The sequence below is a fragment of the Homo sapiens genome, chromosome 20 (assembly GCF_000001405.40).
Source record: "Homo sapiens chromosome 20, GRCh38.p14 Primary Assembly".
In the NCBI taxonomy this organism is placed as follows: Eukaryota; Metazoa; Chordata; class Mammalia; order Primates; family Hominidae; genus Homo; species Homo sapiens.
In genome coordinates this window covers 17,503,035-17,523,538 of record NC_000020.11, presented here as the reverse complement: position 1 = coordinate 17,523,538, position 20,504 = coordinate 17,503,035, and the positions used below count along the sequence as shown (strand labels likewise).

At 47.8% G+C, this 20,504-nt stretch overlaps 1 protein-coding gene and 1 pseudogene across 6 annotated transcripts in view, besides 1 other annotated feature; one reads left to right on the top strand and one right to left on the bottom strand.

The window, feature by feature from the left end:
• Window positions 1-20,504, top strand: part of BFSP1 (beaded filament structural protein 1) — a 75,316-nt gene that overhangs the window by 45,682 nt on the left and 9,130 nt on the right. For 5 of the 6 annotated variants that reach the window (NM_001278608.2, NM_001278607.2, NM_001161705.2 and 2 more), the window contains 3 exons: window positions 8,723-8,818; window positions 11,471-11,563; window positions 14,543-14,650. In NM_001278608.2, coding sequence (NP_001265537.1) covers window positions 8,723-8,818; window positions 11,471-11,563; window positions 14,543-14,650 — 297 coding nt within the window. The remainder of the gene's footprint in view (window positions 1-8,722; window positions 8,819-11,470; window positions 11,564-14,542; window positions 14,651-20,504) is intronic. The other variant, NM_001424338.1, reaches the window with a different exon arrangement.
• Window positions 6,197-6,746, bottom strand: RPS27AP2 (RPS27A pseudogene 2; annotated as a pseudogene).
• Window positions 18,504-19,027: an enhancer, noted in NCBI's record as "H3K4me1 hESC enhancer chr20:17485157-17485680 (GRCh37/hg19 assembly coordinates)". NCBI's record gives its function as "activates a minimal SCP1, AML or CMV promoter by ChIP-STARR-seq in naive and primed H9 embryonic stem cells {active_cell/tissue: H9 hESC(naive and primed)}" and the evidence as "EXISTENCE:reporter gene assay evidence [ECO:0000049][PMID:30033119]".

Sequence of the window (20,504 nt, the reverse complement as noted above, 5' to 3'; positions counted from 1 at the left end):
AGCTGGGAGTTGGGCCTTATTAGTGTCTGACATCACTCTGCTATTCTGCTGACACCTGTAGCTCATCCCCATTCTTCTGTTTTGTGCAACCTCAGACTGCCAGAACATGGCCTTCAGACACGGGGACCCAGCACCCTTCACAGCACCCCTCAGGCCCTCCGAGGCCCTCTCCCCAACACTTCCACATGTTGCTTTGTGAGCATCTGTCCTCACTTGTCACTCACGCAGTGCCATCCTGGGTACTCTTCAAATAAAGGGGAGAAAGAATGGGGTTCCTCTTTTACCCTTGATGGAAAATGACAGTGAATTTAAAAAACAAGCTTAAACTTTCTGTTGTTTTTCTCTTTTTACAAAAGCAATCCATATTCTCAGTAGAAAAAATAAGGCAACATAGATAACGAAAAATAAGGAAAAGGCATCGCATAATACACCTTCATGTATATTGTGACATAGAGTGTGGACATTTGAAGTATCAGCCCTGTAAGAATATTATGAAGGTTCTGGGGAAAGATGCTACCAAGAATGTGGGTGAGACCAGCACAGGCAATTAGCATGACTGGCCCCTGGGTCCAAGTAAGACAGTACTGCCCGCAGGTGAGCTGCAGAGCCCCAGCGAGGAGTGTAGCCTGTGACTAGGAACCTCCTGCTACAGCTGAGCATCTGTGAGACTGTGGGCCAATTGCCTTGTCCCTCTGAGCCTCGGTTTTTTCATCTGTGAAATGGAATCACAATACTCCCCACCCACCATAGGAGTGAAAGTGCCTAGTGAGAACTAAATGATGTAATAATGTATATGACTTGCCCATCACCTGGTGGTGCTGAATCCCTGATCACTGTTATTACTACAGAGCACTTGATGTGACAGACACCAGCTTGGTTTTCTCCACAGTGTGGGTGCAGAACCCTGTTGAAATGGGAGGTGACTTTAGAAAGTGCATGGAGGAGTGATATTTAATAGTTGTGAATTTTTTATGATTACCTGTTATTTACAGCGGATGACATAAAATATTCCTTTCCAAATAAACCTACGTAAGAATGAGTACCTTTAAAGACAAATACAGAGTGAATAAGATGCAGGTGGTCCTTGGATAATAGTAGAAATCATAAACACAGCAGGCAGATGCAGGACGCTGGGGAGGGCCTTGTGCAAGCCTGTGGGAGCCTCAGAACAGCCCGTGGTTATTGGGGGGGCAGGTTTTATTCTCAGAAATGACCTATTCCAAATCCTTCTCTGGGCCAGTGAGGAAACTCACCCTTGATGAGGTTAAATGACTTCAGAGCCTCGCAGCTCAGCCGTGGTAAGTGTAGACAGGAGTTGGGGTCTTTTGTATTTGTGGTTCATTCTCTACCTCCAAAGAATAGTCAGGGAACCGGTATTACTCAGAGGCCAGACACGAAGCCAGAGAGTTCTCGGCTATAGGTGGCCCCATGGACCTTGATGTTGGTGTCCTGTCCACACACCTTGGGCCATGCCAGTGGTCACTCAGACACGCTGAACACCCTGATCACTGCCTGCATCTCGGGCTCTGGGAACATGCATGGCCCACATCAGTATAGTCCAGAAGCGCTGGGTGTTAACACCCCAGGAACAACCCTCAGTTGCTGTGGACTGGGATAGGTGGATAAGTTCCCCACCCCTCATAGTGATGGTTCAGAGCCACATTCCACATGGTCCCTCAGAGGGACCCCAGCCGTACTGAGCTGTCTACAATGGCAACCTGCTCGTCACATTCCTTCATTGGTTTTGTTTCCTTCTCTGGCTCACTAGCCTCCCTTACCTGTGCTTCCTGGGATCACCTCCCAGATAAGCCACAGGTACCCAGTCTTTGCCTTGGGGTCCACTTCTGGAGAACCCAAATAGTCCCTCAAGGGCAGGGCCAGGTGAACACTGGACCTTTTTGTTCTCTGCTGAGATCATCAGATGACATGAAAGAGGCTAAAATTCACATCGCATCAGCTGGTCGTGTGAGTGATTTTGGCCTGCAGGTTTTGGGTATTTTCTTACATCAGATCAACGAGGTTTTAGCTCAGTCTCAGTGGCCATTTCCTTTGGTCTGACTTGTGGAAGGGATTCATCCCTGGGTGTGGCCGTGGGACATCACTGATCCAGTCTTTGCATCCTACTTGGAGGATATTGCAGTGTATGTGAAAGGACTGATGGCCCCTGCCTTCACAAAACCACCATGCATTTCTTCATGCTGCCCGTGTAATCAAGCCTACGGAAAGAGCTCCTGTAGTTTTATCAGCCAGATAAATTATAGTAGGCCACTCTTTGCTGTGCACTTAGAAGTGAAGTAAACTCCTCAACACGTTACCTACAACCTATGGCCAAAGTTATTCAACTTCTCAGCCTTTTGATGTAGTAGGAATTCCAGGTGACTTTAAAATATTTGGGTTTGCTAACTTCTAGATCTCATGGTCACCAAATATATACGTATGAAGTTACTGGTCTGCTATGATGCCTGATTTGCTTATCTTGAGGAAACTGTAAGCAGCAGACTTTAAAATCTCCCTCTCCTTTTCTCTTTAAAATTCCCAGAATTTTAAAATGATGTGGTTTCTAGTCAAATGCTTTCACTTAAAAACAATTTTAAAAATATTTAAAGGCTGACATATATACTTTTTCATGTAATTCATGTGTCTCTTAAACGTGCCTGTGGAAAGCAGCAAGAGGCCAGGGAGTTTAGGGGATAAAATGGTGCAGGCATGAAGCCCTACCTTCAGGGCTATGCCTTTGTATGCCAAGAATTCCTCTGAGCCCGGAAATGAACTTCCGGAGAAGAGAAGGAGAGGAAACTGGGAAGGAAGAGGAGGAGTCTGGGGGTGGAGAGGCAAGAGGAGTGGAGGAAGAGTCAGGATGAATGCAAAGGGAGAGACAGCAAAGTTGAGGAGACTGAGGCAGAGGCAAGAGAGAGGGTGGAGAGATGTAGAATTTGTCCAGTGCCCTCCAGGCCAACATTAGCACCTGGAAGAACAGCCATAACATTTTTGGAAAGGTTTTTGACATCCAGAGTTGAAGGAAAAGTGTTTTTTAATTAAATTCCAGCTAACTAGAACTCTTAATGAACTTAAATACCCATTCTTTAGCAGTTGGGTTTTAAATGGAGTTTCTGGGATCCCTGTGAATAGGTCAGCAAGGCTGTTTTTTTTCCTTTTTAATCCCCACCATTTGAGTTAAAAAAGGGCTGATTTTCAATAATGCTCCAAATTCTAGTTATTTCTCCAGCTCCTTTCTAAAAACATGGCTGTAAATAGTCTAGATTAGTGGTTCTAAAACTTCAGTGTGCATCAGTGTTACCTGGGGTGAAAGGTGGGCGGGGTGGGGGGGCACGTTAAAACCCAGACTCCTGGGCCCCAGCCCCAGAAATTCTAAGCCAGTAGGTCTGGCATCTGCTGGAGTATTTGCATTTCTGATCCGTTCCCAGGTGTTGTGATCCAGGGACCACACTTTGAGGACCACTGGTCTAGATCTAGGACATAGGCAATTATCAGAGTTGGAATGTTTTGTAAAATTAGACTATTGACCCATAATCTCAATTCAGAAAAATCTAGATGATTCTGCTGGTGAAGCTTTTGAAAATTCAGCTGACAACATCCACAGCATAATAAAAACACAAGCGTCTACACATTTCTGAGTTCTGGCGCAAACAAAAGAAAACACTTCCAAAACAAATTTTCCTCAGCGTATCAGCAGCTGTACATTCCAGTGGGCCCTACTCACCTTTGGGGGTTTTGGGGTCAGCTTATCGGGTGATTATCTTCAAAGCAGGACAGTGTGCTTGCAGAAACATCTGCTTAATCCCTATTTTAAGAATACATATTGACTGGCCTTTTACTATCACTATGAGCAGTTATAAAGATTTAACTGATGGGACCCAGTGCTGGTGGTTTTGACACAATCCTAGGAGGGAGGTGGGGAAGAATGACAGGCACCTCGAAGGATGGAGTCAGGGCTTAGCACTCAGCTCTTGGCTAGGAGAGAGAAGCCCATGGTAGGTTCCAGGCCTGTTATCTTCCACTAACTTCCATTCACGAGTTCAATGATGCACTGCATCAGTCTGGCCTCAGCCCTGCATACATGGAGGGAGGCTCTGGACTTCAAGGTGCATTTGGCAGAGCCCTCATGTTGCATCGAGTTGCTTGAAGGGTCTCTGAGGGAAGAGGGCAGCTGAGCATGGGAGATGCCTGTGGCCCCTTGGCTTTGCTTCAGTACAGTGGCTTCCATGGACTGCTTTGTTCAAAGGATGGCACATGTGGCTTAACAAAAGTTTGAGGACCAGTGACCCCAGGGTTCCTTCTATTTCTAAAATTTGTAATGTTTGATTCCTTATAAATAATAACACAAAGGGTCCTTGAAGCCCTGTTTCCAGTCATTCAGCTTTGTGGCTCAATCTTGGATGCATTTTGTTAAGAGTGATTGAGAATTCTGTGCCCCACCCCATCCTCAGCAGTCTTAAGAGGGGCAGAGGGAAGATAGAACAACATCCACCCAATACTCCTGCACCTCTGGCCCAGATTTAGCCAAGCCTCTCTGAGGGTGTGGTCCCATCCCCGGGGCTGAGAATCACTCCACAGGGAACCACTGCCTTTGAAGGGAGTGGGATGCGTCCGGGAACACTGTGATTTTCCTTCACATCGTGTGGTCCAGCTGTCAGGCAAGATGGTGGTCATGTGACCCATGCTGGCCAATCACAGCTCTCCTGAGGGAGGGATGCAGGGATGAACTGATTCAGAGCTGGGTCACTCTGAGGACAGGTCCTTGACTCCTGCTACTTAGATTCCTGGAACTGCCTTGGTTTCCGTCTTTCCTGAGGTCTGGCTGGTATTTTACAAATGAACCAGGGTTTTTCTGAATCCTCCACCCTTTTCTGTTGCTGGAAAGATTCAGGCTTCCCTTTCCACCATTTCTCTTATGAAAGGGCTTCCCAGGCTTGTGAAATACTTCTGGGTATTTCAGAAGACCAGACACCAGGATCTCCAAGGGGCCTGCCCACTTCCCCTGCGGTAGGAAGGCCTTGATTTGCATGAGTGCATCAGTCTGGGTCTGATCGCCCCGGGCCGGGTAGCGCACGCCTTCTGGAAGAAGAAACGCTATAGCTGAGTTTTCATTAGACCCTCCCTCACTGTCCCTGGGTCGCAGGATGTGAGGACCCATCATTAAGGGCTCAGAATGGTAACCCCCTGAAGGCAGAGCTCGTTAAAGGTCAATGGCTAATTAATTAAACACATGAATGAGCTCAGAAGCTAAGTCCCATAGTTAGATTTCATATTCTTGTAGTTTGGACAGTTCAGTGTCCTGGATCTGGAAAAATGTGTCCCTTTTTGTAATTTGGTTCATTCTTTTATTTCTGATTTAAAACAAAAACCCCCAAAAACTTCAGACCACGTGTAGATTTGTTGAAGGGAGTGGTTTTCCCAGGAGCTCTTGCTTCTCCCAGTGGGCAGTGGTGCTGGTGGCAGCAGGAGCCCGGTGCCAGGGCCAGGAATCAGGAGGAGCCTTGGAGAGAGTAGGCAGGAGAGTCCAGGGGCCGGGGTGAGGAATGACTCTGGACACTGGTGTCCTTCCTTCTTCTGTCGAGAGTTCCTTACCTGGGGATTCACCCTGCAGCAGAAACCTGGAGGAGCACTGAGGAGGAACAAGATGTTCCGTTGCCGAAAATTGCTCCCATAGAGCCGTGCCATGCAGTATGGCAGCCACCAGCCGCATGTGGCTGTGGAGCACCTGCAATGTGGGGAGTTCGAATTGAGATGTGTTATGAGTGTAAAATACACAGCAGTTTCAAAGACCTCATCTGAAAACAAGAATGGAAGATATCTCACTACTAACTTATTGATTACATGATGACATGATAATATTTTGGGTATACTGGGTAAAATAAAATATATTATTAAAATTAATTTCACCTGTTTCTTTTTATTTTATTTAAAGTGGCTACTTCTAGAAAGTTTAAAGTTGGCCAGGCACGGTGGCTCACACCTGTAATCCCAGCACTTTGGGAGGCCACGGTGGGTGGATCACCTGAGGTCAGGAGTTCAAGACCAGCCTGACCAACATGGTGAGACCCCGTTTCTACCAAAAATAGAAAAATTAGCTGGGCGTGGTGGTGTGCACCTGTAGTCCCAGCTACTTGGGAGGCTGAGGCAGGAGGAAACGCAAAAGGAAATGATTTTGTTTGTTTGTTTGTTTTGTTTTGTTTGTTAGTTCATGTCTTTTATTAACTCATACAGTTCCTTGTCTTCTGGTTTGTTGAAGCAGTAAGTCAGACAACATTTGCCACAATAATGTCTGTCATAGTGGCTTGCCATAAACACTCCAGCACCACATTCATCAGAAGGGCACTCTCGATGAAGGTGACTAATTTTGCCATTCTCGTCTACCTTATAGTATTTCAGGACAGCCAGCTTAATCTTCTTCCTCTTGTGCTTATTCTTCTTGGGAGTGGTGTAAGACTTCTTCCTTTTCTTAGCACCACCACGAAGTCTCAACACAAGATGAAGAGTAGACTCCTTTTGAATGTTGTAGTCAGACAAAGCACATCCATCCTCCAGTTGCTTGCTAGCAAAGATCAGTCTTTACTGATCAGGAGGAATTCTTTCCTTATCCTGGGTCTTGGCCTTTATATTTTCTATCGTATCTGAGGGTTCAACCTTGAGGGTGATGGTCTTCCCTGTGAGGGTTTTCACAAAAATCTGCATTTTGGTGGCAGCTCCACTGCAGGTGGCTAATGGAAAAGGAAGGAAATGTTTTAAGATACATTCCTAAGGGTTGCACATTGACTAATTTGATCTTGTACAACTCTCAAGTTCTGTAAGATAAAATCTTCAGTTCTCTTGGGTAGATAAAAGAGCTTCAGAAGTTTGAGTTGGGTGAGGGTTGGCCACTCCCTTACCATCTTGCTAATGCTTTAGACCAAATTCACACAGAAAGAGATTTGTTAAATATTAACATTTATTGTGATGCAGGCCCCCAAGGTCCATACAACCTTCTCTGTAGGCTCCATGAAGTCTCAGCTCTGGTGTCTTAGGTGCTAAGAGAACACTTTGCATGGAAAGCTCATTGAAGGCAGAGGCTACAATAGAGTCAGAATTTCAGGATCCTTCTTGTCAGCATCAGACAATCAGAAATCTTACTACACCAGTGGTCTTTCACAAGAGCAATTAAGGAACCAAGTGCCTTTTATTTTTATTGAATTAATTAATTAATTTTTTTTGAGATGGAGTTTTGCTCTTTTTGCCCAGACTGGAGTGCAATGGCATGATCTTGGCTCACTGCAACCTCTGCCTCCCAGGTTCAAGTGATTCTCCTGCCTCAGCCTCCTGAGTAGCTGGGATTACAGGCATGTGCCACCATGCCCAGCTAATTTTGTACTTTTAGTAGAGATGGAGTTCTCCATGTTGGTCAGGCTGGTCTCGAACTCCTGACCTCAGGTGATCCACCTGCTTCAGCCTCCCAAAGTGCTGGGACTACAGGTGTGAGCCACCACACCCGGCCCCAAGTGCCTTTCTTAAGAGTGCAGTCTCAAGGCCTTGCCAGACCGAAACCCTAGTAGCACAAGGGTGGGGAGTGTCCCTACATCTCATGGCCAGTCCACATATCGTGACTGTCATAACTCTGTTCATGCGAGTATGGAGAGTGTCTCTTACATATTTTAGTCAGACCACGTGTTCCCCTTGATTAATGAGAGCCCATTGCTAAGACTCATTATGTTTATTAGCAAGTCACTAATAAGTCAGTAAAAATTCACTTCCCAAGGCCTCAGGTGTTGGCAGGTGTGCATGGCAGAGGTATCTTGGGAGACTGGGGAATCCTGATGAACCCAAGTAATGCTCACCTGTAATATCACACCGAAGATGCCAAAGTATATAAGTCACTTCTGGACATCATAGCACAATCTTATTAAGAGCATGAATAATTCTTTCATACCTACTTGGTCTATCCAAACAAGATCAATGAGGCAAGAGCCAGTGAATTATCAGAAAGTTTCCTGAGAAAATTCAACCTTTTGTGATCAATGTCGTTTCCAACCTTAGAGGAACAAACAAATGCTATTCACAAAACAGTCATTCTAAAAATGCATTTTTGTATGAAAGATGCATCTTCTCAAGGTAAATGTTAACAGTCCTTGGGAGAAAACTGCTAGAATACAGATTTCAGGATTTAAGGGAAAACAATTTTTTTCTTTCAGTCTTAGAAACCCAACTCACTGATGATGAGATATAGAACAAATATAGACGTTACTTAAATATTAACTTTATTTGGTATGTAAATATACCTAGCGCTCCGATCTTTCTAGATCAAGGTTACTTAACCCTGGCTGTATTGACCCTTTAGGCAAGGGAATTCCTTGTGTGCAGGGTTGTGGGGGGATGCTGTCCTGTGTATTGTAGGGTATTTAGCAGTGTCCCTGGCCTCTACCCACTAGTTGCCAATAGAAGGACCCTACCACTAAAGTGGTGACAACTAAAAATGTCTCTAGACACTGCCAAATGTCCCCTTGGGGGGCAAAATCACCCTCTGTTGAGAACTGCTCTTCTAGAACAGGTCCAATGGGCTAAGCCATTGCCTTGCTAGAATGCATAATCTCAGACCCCTCCCAGACCTACTGAACCAGAGTCTGCATTTCAGTAAGCTCCCAGGTGGTCTGTGTGCTCATATACCCGGCCAGCTTTACCCCTATGCTCCATGGTGCCTGTGGCCAGGGATATGTGGCTCTCATTGCAGGAAGCTGATGAAGCCTTGCTGCATAACCTACGCCTTCAGCTGGAAGCCCAATTTCTGCAAGATGATATCAGTGCGGCAAAGGACAGGCACAAGAAGGTAATCATGACCCCTTGAAGCCCTTCCTCTAGAAAACCCAGTTTGGGTTTGATCAGGTAAGCCGAGGGTACTGTGGCTGAAAACAGACTGCTAGAGTGGCATACCTTTGTGCGTTTTCCCTCGAACCAAATAGGGGTGAATTGGTCACTGGACAGTGCTTACTGAGCTAGATGTGCTTTGAAGAGTGGGCAGTAGTGGGTGTGTTTTGAGGGCCCTGGTGTTGGGAACTAGTATCTATATTGTACAGTATAATTTACAAAGTGATTTTATATAGATCTGTCTTCATTAAGCTACAGTCCATCAACTGTTTCCGCTCAGAAAATACATGAAAAAGTCTTGTTTTTAGCTCTGCCTCTGAGCCCGTTAATTGCAGGAGCACATTATTCAGGAGCTTCCTCTCCTGCAGTGCTCAGACTCCCCCAGCCTCCAACAGTTCCTCACAGGCCTGATTCTGGGGGGCCCTGGCATAATTGAAAAATCAGATTCTGCAGCTGTTTGACTATGGGTGAGTGGCCTAACCTCTCTGAGCTGCTTTTTCTTCTTCAAAATGCAAATGCAGGCTCTCCTTCCCAGCAGTGACGTGGGTGAAGTAGTGTAGCAGACCTGTGGGTGCCTCAGGGCTTCCCTCTCCAGGGGCTCTGGCCTCCTCCCACTGCCATCCCTGCAGCTTTGCCTGAGGACTTTCTCCAAGCAGCTGGAGGCTGCTCCGCCTGTAGTGGGGTGTTGGGGAACTCCTGTCCCCAGGAGCAGGGAGCAGCCTCAACCAGAACTGATGGGAGTTGGTGTATAAACACACCAGCTCCCTCTCGCCTTTGTAGACCAACTCTGAGGCTTTTGTTCTGCATTGGCACCCAGAGATACTCACCAGGATTGAGCTCCAGGTGCCCACAGTGGTGATCCATTGGTAATAGCCCTCGCTGACTGCTCTCCCTTCCTGCCTCACTTTCCCACTCCACCCGTCATGTTTCCTGGCATCACTGCCCAGTCAACTGTTTGCACTCAGATCCCTCTCTCAGGGTCTGCTTCTGGGGAAACCCAAACTACGACAATGTGGGAACATGGGTACAACCTGGAGCTTGGCAAGTGCTCAGTGAACTTCCAGTTCCCTTCCTACCTCAGTGTGTACCTGCATCAGTACACCAGGCCTGTCTGCTCCAATCAGGGTCCCTCCAACTTTCCATGAGGCCCAGCCATTTCCTCCTCCCCACCCACCTCCTTGCTTCTACCCTACTTGATGGAATCCTGGGAACAGTGCCTGGGCCAGTTTTGAAGCAGCTCAAATAATTCTTCCAGGCCATTTAGGATGATGATGATGATGATGACGGTGATGATGATCGCTCACACTGTGAGGCTTCCCTGTAGTATCTCACTGGATCCCAAGAGCAGCCTTGTGAAATACTGCTCAGGTCAGGCTTCCTCTAAGCAGAGCTCTAGGTAGTGATTTTTTGTCACTGATGTCTTAGTGGAGGGCTCTGAGAAGGGGAGGAAAAGGGCAGGACAGGGCAGGGAGCAGAGCAAGGACTTGTCCTCAGCCGGAGTCCAGCTGTGGCCTTCTCATGATCCCACAGGAAGCTCTGGAGTGTGAATGTGAATTACACCACAGCTGGGTCCCTCAAGGAGTTGAGAGAGTTGGTCTTTTGTACTCCTGTGCTGTCAGTCGTTGGCCTGGGTTGGGGATGAGGCAGGGCCTGGTAGCTTCCTGGACAAGATGACCATTTGTTGGCCAAGGGCTGCTTTCTGGAGAGGGCTGTGTCATCTGTTATTACAGAGCTGGGGACAGGGGCACTGGCGGGTAAAGGGGATCAGCATCCCTACAGATAGTTATCCCTGTTTTACAGAAGAACTTGCATTTTAGGAGGTTTAAATAGCTTGCCTGAGGTCACACATAGCCAGTAAGTCTTTTAGTCCAGGCCTGATTGACCAAAGCCCATTCTTTGAAACACTGCTGGTGTTGGAAAGGGTCCTTTGTGCCCTCCAGGGCCTTTTAACTTATTTATTTTTGACACGGTGTCTCATTCTATCACTCAGGCTGGAGTACAGTGGGGTGATCACAACTCACTGCAGCCTCCACCCACCCCCAGGTTCAAGTGATCCTTCTACCTCAGCCTCCTAAGTAGCTGGGACCACAGGTGCACACCACAACACATAGCTAATTTTAACATTTTTTGTAGAAATGGGATCTTACTATGTTGCCCAGGCTGGTCTCCAACTCCTGGGCTCAAGCAATCCACCTGCCTTGGCCTCCCAAAGTGCTGGGAGTACAGGTGTGAGCCACCATGTCTGGTGAGGGCTGGTTTTTTTCTCTTTTTTTTTTTGTGCCTCCGCCACCCAGGGCTTTGTGAAGACCAATGCACCAATGTAACTGAAGAGAAACAGTGAAATAAGGCAAGTCTTAGTTTATTCATCGGCCCCGTTGTTCTTGTGAAGATTAAAGGAGACTGAGGTGCCAGGAATGAGCATGGTGCACATGTGGGCAGGCCCACCCATGGCAGCAAATGCATCAGTCTCTTCTTCCTCCTGAACCTGGTCATGGTCTGTCCTGTCTGTGATGAGGGAGCGTGCGGAAGTGTCCATTCCTGTTCTCATCTAGTACTAGAAGGAAAAACCAGCGCAGCTCAACTTATAATGAGAATGTTTTCCCTCCCCCAACAGAATCTTCTGGAAGTTCAGACCTATATCAGCATCCTGCAGCAGATCATCCACACCACTCCTCCAGCATCCATTGTGACGAGTGGGATGAGGGAGGTAAGAATTGAAGCAGGAAAAGGCAAACCAGCCCTGGAGGGAAGCTGTACCTGGAGACTCCCAGGGAAGGGCTCACAGGTTGGACTGTGAGGGCGGCCACCAGGGTCCACTCCCCACTCCTGCCTTGTATTCTCATCTGAAGTTTCTTCTTCTGATATTTTACTTGTACTGTAAATGCCAATATTTAGACATGTGAGGATGTAAACCGCATCCTTGACCATTTTCTTCGGTATTTTCTCTTGAGAATTATGAGCTGTTCTTCCTTGCATACTTTATAAGAAATGACCAAGCTGCTTTCCAAAGCGATGTGCCATTGTTGCATCTCCACCCACAATGCGTGAGGGTTTCTGTGGCTTCCTGTCCTTGCCAGCACTTGGTATGTCAGCTTTGTAGTGTGTCTTTGCTCTTCTAATGGTGGTGGTTTTAATTTGCATCCCCTAATGACTAAGGAAGCCGAGCATCCTTTTGTGCACTCATCTGCCATCCGGATAGCTTCTTTGTGGAAGTATCTGCTCAAGCCTCTTGCCCATTTAAAAAATTGGTTTGTTTCCTTATTCTCCCTATCAATCTGATAATGAATTTCAAATACAGATAATCTCAGATAATTAGTGAATATATTTCCAAGACGGAGCTCTGCTAATGATTATGTGAGCCTGTGGCATTGAAACTAGTGGGAAAGGATAGAGATTGTTGAAGCCAATTTGTAAAAATTAAGATTTGGATATGAAAAATTACTTCTGATATTATGTTCCAAATTCCTTCTTCATTTGACTCTCTAGCTGCTCAACGGGATAGTAACGCTTTTCCTAATATGGTTTATGGAATTTTGTGATGCATAGCATGATATATATATATATAGACTGGTGCTGAGTGAGGTGGCTCATGCTTGTAATCCCAACTACTCAGGAGGCTGAGGTGGGAGGATCATTTGAGGCTAGGAGTTCAATACCAGCCTGAACAACATAGCAAGACCCCATCTCTAAACAAACAAACAAACAAGAAGCAAAAAAACCCCACAAACACTGGAAATGATGCAAATTAAATAAAAATGTTACAGTGTCCCTTCTTCAGAGGTTGTGGTAGGCTACTACAGGGTTTGGTGGATTGGTCAAGAGATAAGGTTCTGGGTCTTTTTGCAAGGATGACCTAGGATGGTGGCTCTCAACCCTGGTGACACTTGAAATTGCCTAGATGTGTGCTCAGGCCATGCTCCGAGTCAATGAATGGGCTTCCCAGGAGGTGGGGCCTGCCCAGGACCAGCATGCAGACAAACTGCTGCAGAACCCATGGGCTGGGGTCACCGGCTGCCTGAACTTTTTCGTCTTAATTATTTTATACAAAGCTAAAGAAATCCCCAAATTTGCTTTAGAAGACACTTTTGAACCCTGCAAAGTATCATCTAAGCGACAGGAAAGTTACTTTTTTTGGCATTCATGAGGATAGTCTTGTCTGAATTGCCCACCAGTTACCATTTCAGGATCCTGTTCTCCTTAGTGGATGTAACTGATGTTGCTACAAAGGCCTAAAAAAACTTTTCCTGAAGCCTTAATTTTCTTTCCCAGAGATTCCTTTCCAGAGATGTTACTTTTATTTTTCAAACCCAACTCTAACTCAAAGGTGTTTTACATCCGAGCATACCTTTTGAATTGTATCATCTATTCCCATGTAATAAGACCCTTCTAAGTCATAAGTATACAGACACTAAACTGACTTTGATGTCATCGATCAGCATCGTCTGGGCTTGTGAGACGTGCAGAGTGTCCAGTCCAGCCTCAGACCCACTGAGGCAGAATCTGCATCTTAGCCAGATCCGCAGGGACTCGTGTGCATGCTCAGGATAGAGAAGCACCGATTGAGAAAGTGTCACATCTTTATGAGTCTTAGCTTAGCAATTCTACAATCAAGTTAGACGGTCACTTTCCTGTATGTCTATGTCATTGCTGCAGCCACTTTGTAAGGTGTTTGAAGCAGAGGCTGTCTTCCATGCAGCCTCTGGACACAGAAACCCTCATTGTAGACTTGGTGTTTGATTTTGCATGGCTTCGAGTCAATGTGCTCTGTGTCAGAATGCATGGCTCTTGAGCAGTCAGGCCTTTGTGAAACAATTTGAATATTTTTGAATAGACGTGGAAAGGCAGGTCAGGAGAGAGGGACCTGCTTGGCAGAGTGTGGAGAGGTCAGAGGATTTCCTTCTAGCCATTCCCTGGAGCGTCACTTCCCTTTCACCCACTGGGGCTGATGGCTCCTGCTTTGTGCTGCGCTGACATCCGAGCACAGCGTATGGCTCGCGGCTCCAACCAGCCTTCATTTTCTTCGAGAGTGTGCATTCCAGGTTTTCCCTTTCACAGAAGGGAAAACAGAGGCTTTGAGAGTCAAATCCTTTTCTAGAGTCTCTTAGTAGGTTCATGGCACAGCCAGGTCTAAGCTCTGGTCTCCTGGTACTTGGTCCCGGCATGTCACACTCCCAAGGAGGTTCAGACTTTGAAGACAAAGCAAAAGGCATTGATGGCTGTGCTGTGGGCCTGGCTTAGTCTTCTCAGGCTACTATAACAGGACACTACAGATGGGAGGGCCGACAGGCAGACATTTACTTCTCACTGTCCTGGGTGCTGGAAGTCCAAGATCAAGATGCCAGCAGAATTGGTGTCTGGTGAGGGCTCTCTTTCTGGCTTGAAGACGGCTGCCTTCTTGCTGTGTCTCACGTGACAGACAGACAGGGGGTGGGGGTGGGGGCTCTGGTGTCTCTTCTTGTTCTTACAAAGACCCTAATCACATGATGGGGCCCCCCATCCTCATGACCTCATCTAACCCTAACACCTTCCAAAGGTCTCCTAAAACCTTCATCTTGGGAGTTAGTTAGGGCTTCAACACAGAATTCAGGGGGACACGGATATTCCGTCCATACCAGGGCCCCGCACCTTCTCTGCCCTTTTCCTCTCTGCATGTCCCATGAGTCTGACTCTGGCCTTCTCTGTGCAGGAGAAGCTCCTGACGGAGCGGGAGGTGGCCGCCCTGCGGAGTCAGCTGGAGGAGGGCCGGGAGGTGCTCTCCCACCTGCAGGCGCAGAGAGTGGAGCTGCAGGCACAGGTACGCTCGAGTCTGCCGCGTGTGCATTGGGGCTTCCCACATGTTTCATGGAGGTGTTACGCGCAGGCACACGCATGCAGCTTGAGGAGCTGTCACACGCTGAACATATCCTATGTTCCTGGCAGAAACGGGGTTTTCTGAGTGGGTGGCCAAGCGCTCTGCTCTGGCCTGGACTGAGGAGTTTTCCAGGACACAGGGAGAGTCCTGAGCTGGGGGACACAGGTGCCACGCTCATTCCTGGCCCCTCAGAGGTGCCCCTTGGGACTCCTTCGAGTCATGCCCTCCCCACCGAGTCTTAGGCTTAGGCTGCCCCAGTGTCTACATCATGCATTCATTTTGCCCAGGTCAAGCTTCGTAAGAATAAGAAGAAACGGACACCATAGGGATTTTTATCCTCCACTTGTTCAAATCTGTGCTTCTGTTTTCCTTCTCATGGTAACAGTTCTCCTTCGGAATTTGATTACAACCCGGCAAGAGTGGTTGTATCAGTGTTTGCTTCTAGTTAGAAACGTGTTGGTGGAAAGCTCACATTTCTACCCCCACCCCTTTTGGGTGAAGCTTAATTTGAAAACAAAACAGAAAAGCCCCAAACTGTCCTGTGGCCTGTGCCTTCTTGGCTACTTGCCGGCTCATCTTCTTTGTTCCTTCCGGTTCTCTCTCTTTCTCATTACCCTACAGCAGGTCATTCCACAGGGACGCTTGGGTTAAAATACTGCACCTTTGTATGGCTCTCTAACCACATTTCCCAAACCAAAAAGTAAGTTGACATTTGGTTTGACAAGTACACATGGGGACAAGAGAGCAAAACGTGTAAAAATCGGACACTTCAGAAAGCCTGGACCATTTGGATGTTATGTGTTACTCTGTCTAAAAATGTGAAGCCACAACTAGATGTAGCGCTTTTTATTGATTTCCAGTGCCCCCATGTCTGCTCAGGATTTCATTTTGGGACCTTGGAGTTCACATCCTAATTCCCATCCCAGCACGCACCACACAAAACTCACAGTGCAGCAGCTCTCAGGGGCTGCTGGAAAGCAAACCCGGGTCTGTGGTGGTCCCCTGAACTGACGATCGCAGCAGGAGGAACCAAGTAAGGCACTTAAAACTCCTCCTTCTTGTGAGACAAACCCTGGCTCAGGGACCATGTGCCTCATCCTGGTGACTGGGGCCTGTGTGGTTTCTTCTGAGGCTCTGACAGGATAGAATAAGGGTTGTATGTGTTTGTGTACATGGGGTGTGTGTGTGTGATATACATGGTATGTGTGATATATGTGGGATGTGTATGTGAAGTGTGTGTGGTGTGTGTGTGTCATGTGTATGTGTGTGTGCTGTGTATGTGAATAGGGACGTGGATACAAGCCCAGTCGTGGTCCTAGAGACCAGTGTTTTCCAAATGGCTAGTGACAACTCATTTTTGGATGTAAAATGAACTCAGTAGAATTGACTGGCATGTAAAAGGAAGTCAACAAAATGCTAGACTAAAATATAATAAGAAAAACAGAGTGTACAGCAAGTGAAAGGGAGGATTTGTTTTGTGAAGCCCTTGTTTTATCTCTCTATATCCATATGGATATGTTGAAATACACACACACACACACACACACACACACACACACCTACCTATCTGATGTGTATGGCTCGCAATGAGAAATGTGGTTTTTCCTGGGGCGGTGGTGATAAAGTTGAAAACCACTGCCCTAGAGATACTGAGAAAGATGAAGGAGCCCAGCCTAGATGGCAAATTCCAGTTCCAGGACAAAAAGAATGTTCCTCTCTTTATGTACAGGTATTTGTTGAATATCAAAATAAGAAATTTCACAACAGATTAACCTGGTTTCTGAGAACATGAAATGAAACCGCTGGTTGGCCGCCTGTTTCTGTCCTGAGTGGCTGCAGGAGGACTTCCTGGCTTTTCCCTGCTGCCCTCGTCTCTAAAGCAGGGTCTCAAACATCTCTTCTGTGCTGCCTCCTCCACTCCCACCCGTGGCATTCTGATGGAGACCGCTTCTCAGAAAAATGATGGTAAAGGCATAAAATAAAATACAGATAATTTAAAGGAAACCAGGCTGGGTGTGGTGGCTCACGCCTGTAATGCCAGCACTTTGGGAGGGCAAGGTGAGTGGACTGCTCGAGTCCAGGAATTTGAGACCAGCCTGGGCCACATGACGAAACCCCACCTCTACAAAAAATACAAAAATTAGCTGGGCGTGGTGGTGCGTGCCTGTGGTTCCAGCTACTTAGGAAGCTGACATGGGAGGACTGCCTGAGCCTGGAGAGGTTGAGGCTGCAGTGAGCTGAGACTGAGCCACTGCACTCCAGCCTGGGCAACAGAATGAGACCCCGTTTCCAAAAAAAAAAAAAAAGAAACTAATTATATTAAAACAGTTATCAAAATATTACTGAATCATTTTAAATAAAATGACAGATGTGCTTATACTCACTCAGTAACAAGCTATAGCATGTAGCTGATGAAACACGGCTGTGTCCATTTTCTGTTGCTGCCTTGATGAGTCACCACCAGCACCCGTGTCATCGCAGTTGTGTAGGTGGGAAGTCTGGGTGGGTCCTATCGGTTTCTCTGCTCTGGGTCTCAAAAGGTAGAAAGAAAGATGTTGGCCAGCCTGGGCCCTTGTCCAGAGGCTGTTAGGGGAGAATTTGCTTCCAGTCTCATTCAAGTTCTTGGCAGGAGTGAGGACCCTGTTTCTTTGCCGGCTGCTGGCCAGGAGTGGCTGTCAGGGCTGCCCAGGCTCCTTGGCTTCAGGCCCCTCCACGTTCGGAGCCGGCAGCGAACTCTGAACCCTCTTCCTGCGTCTCATCTCAATGACTTGGACTTACACGTTTCTCTGACTTCTGTTTTTAGGGGATAATCTTGAATAAACTCCTTTCCTTAAAAAAGGGTAACTGATTAAGAACTTTAATTATATCTGCAAAGTCCCTTTTTGCCATGTAACATATTCAAGGGTGTAGCACCAAGGGGAAAAGGTCACGGGGGCCAAAATTCTGCCTCCTTAGCTCTGATGAAAACCCAGACGTGGCTGGGTGCGCCCGGGAGCTCCTGACTCAGTGGGTCTGGGGTGTGGCCCGGGATGCTGCATGTCTAGGTGTCCCTGTGATGGTGCTGCGGCTGGTCCAGGAGCCACACTGAGAACCACAGGGTAAGGGCGGGTCCCAGGGAGTGGGCGAATGTTCCACCTGGTCCCCCTGTGTCCCAGGCTTGGGCCTCATTTCAAATGTTTGTGGCTGGGTTTTTGCTGGTTTTAAAGGTTTTAGTGGCTTCCCAATGTAGCAGCTAAGCTAGAGCTGAAGGAAGATGTGGCCGCACACCGCCGGGCAGGGCCCGCTCTGTGGCCGGAACTCGGTGGAGGGCGGGCCGAGAGAGAGCGTCTGCTAGCACCAGGGCCGTGGCAGCGGGTTCCGCCTATGGTTAGGGCGTCCGAAGCTTCCCGAACTCTCCACAGCAGGGGTCGTCAGGGTGAGGTCCCCGTCCCAGCAGCGGGGGCACCACCTGGGAACTTGTCAGAAATGCAGATTCACAGGCACCCCAGACCACTGACCCAGGAGCTCTGGGGCGGGCCGGTGCGCCTTGTTTAAGCCCTCCACGTGGCTCTGCGGGCTCAGTCTGGGAGACGCTGGGCGGACGATGGGAGAATAGTGCCTGGGCTTGGAGCTGGAAGCTGGAAGCCTCTCCTTCAAATAAGTGCACATATACCCGTAAGAGCCCCGGAGGAAGCACTTCGGACAGGTGGAGAGGAAAGGACAGGTAATTCTAGTTCCCTAAATTGCATGGACTGAGAGTTTCTGTGACAGGGAAGTAAAGAAAGTCACTTTTTAAAATTGCAAAGTGGGAACCGCCCATGTCTCATTTCTCATTAAAGTCACTTAGCACCATCTAGTGGTTTAGTTTGTGTAAGACAGTATGTAATGAGTTTCCTTTTTTTTTTTTTTAAGACAAAACAAAAACAAAAACAAAAACAAAAAAAAAACCTTACACCTAAAGGTGTCTGGGGTCCTAAGGACTGAGGTGAGAGCTCACCCCTCCAGATGGGGCTCGCGTCAGGCTCCTGCCTGTGTCGTGCCCTCAGCGGCTCACAGCCCAGTGGGGAGACAGATATAAACCAGGCAATCTAACGGTCCAGGCAGAAACAGCAGTCACCTGGCTCCGGATAAAGTTCAGGTTGCCACATGGCCCCACCGTTGGAGGAACCCTGGGCCAACCTCTCTTCTCTTCGTCTCCTGACCCCTCCTGCAGTTTCTGGGACCTCCCCTTTGCTCATTCCTTCTCTCCTTTCTGGAAGTCCCTTTCCTTCCTCGGTTCCCAGGACCGGTCCTGCCTCCTCCTGGAAGCCCCTTTCTTCCTCTGAGATGCCCTGGGCGTGCCTCCCCTGCTGGACTGCGGCCTTCTAGAGGAGGGTCCGTGTCTCATTCTCCTCGGCCAGGCTGGTGCTGGGTGGCAGTGGACGCCGTGCCACAGTGGCTCTCGTCACAGGCATCTCCATTCCTGTTGAGCTCCTGAGACAGGAGCTCTTACTGGTTTTCCTGAACACTCTTCCTTCTGATGAAAGGTTTAAATTATGGAGCTGTAAAAACCACATCGGTATAGACATCAGTCCACTTTTATAAACCAAGTCATCACTTCACTGGACTCAGCAGAATCCCGTAGAGCATCTGCGACCAGTACGGAGTTGGAGGGCTCTGGGCCTCATGGTCATGTGGGGGATGGGGGCTGTGGGGGCGCCCAGGACAGGAGCTCCTCCCGCAGTGTTCCAGCAGAGGATCTCCAGCCTTTAAAACATGCAGCCTTCTTCAAACAAACACAAATGCACACCCAAGAAAACACCCCATCCCTCCACCCCCTACCACTACCACAAAAACAACAATCACCACTTCCTGAGACATAAAAAGATTGCACTCCACTTGTAGGGTAGAAAGATCACAGGTGACTTTCCTGGGCTCTCATTTCCCATTCTGTGATGCTTTGTGGTTCTATTTACAGTTTAAAACTTTGCTAAGTGAAAACCTGCAAGGAGAGGTCTCTGCATGGCTCACACTGACTTTCCCATGTCTTCAGAGAGAACAGGCTGGTGTTGGCCTGTTGCTGTGTGGGAATGGGGAGTTTGCAGGGGCCCTGGAGACAGAGTGTGTGTGTGTGCACGCACGTGTGTGCTTGCATATTGTTGCCTGCAGCAGGGAGGAGGCTGAGGTGCAGGGCAAGGGTGGCCTGGTTCTGGGAGGTGTTTCAGACCTTGTTCAGGTAGATTCGAATCCTGCTGTGGTATTTATGGGCAAGCCACTTTGCCAGTGTGCCCCAGTTTCCTCATCTGTAAAGTGGAAATAATGACAGCCCTTCCCTGATAAGGTTGTTGTGAGGTTGATGAGTTGACCCAGCTTAGGACTTATCAGCATGAGCCACTACCCCCGCTCTGGGCTGGGGAACCCACACCCAAAAGGAACGGCCACCCCAGAGCTCTTGGGTCAGTGATCTGGGGTACATTCTCTTCATATGTAATTTTTTCTTTTACTCTTTATTATGGAAGATTTCAAACATAGAAAAGTGAGAGATTATAGGTGCTATGGCTCACGCCTGTAATCCTAGTACTTTGGGAGGCCAAGGTGGGAGGATCACTTCAGCCCAGAAGTTCAAGACCAGCCTAGGCAACATAATTAGACCTTGTCTCTACAAAAAAAAATTTTTTTTTAATTGGCTGGGCATGGTGGCATTCACCTGTGGTCTCAGCTACTGAGGAGACAAAGGTGTGGGGACCACTTGAGCCCAGGATGTGGAGGCTTCAGGGAGTCCTGATGGCAGCACTGCACTCCAGCCTGGGCAATAGAGTGAGACCCTGCCTGTCTCAAA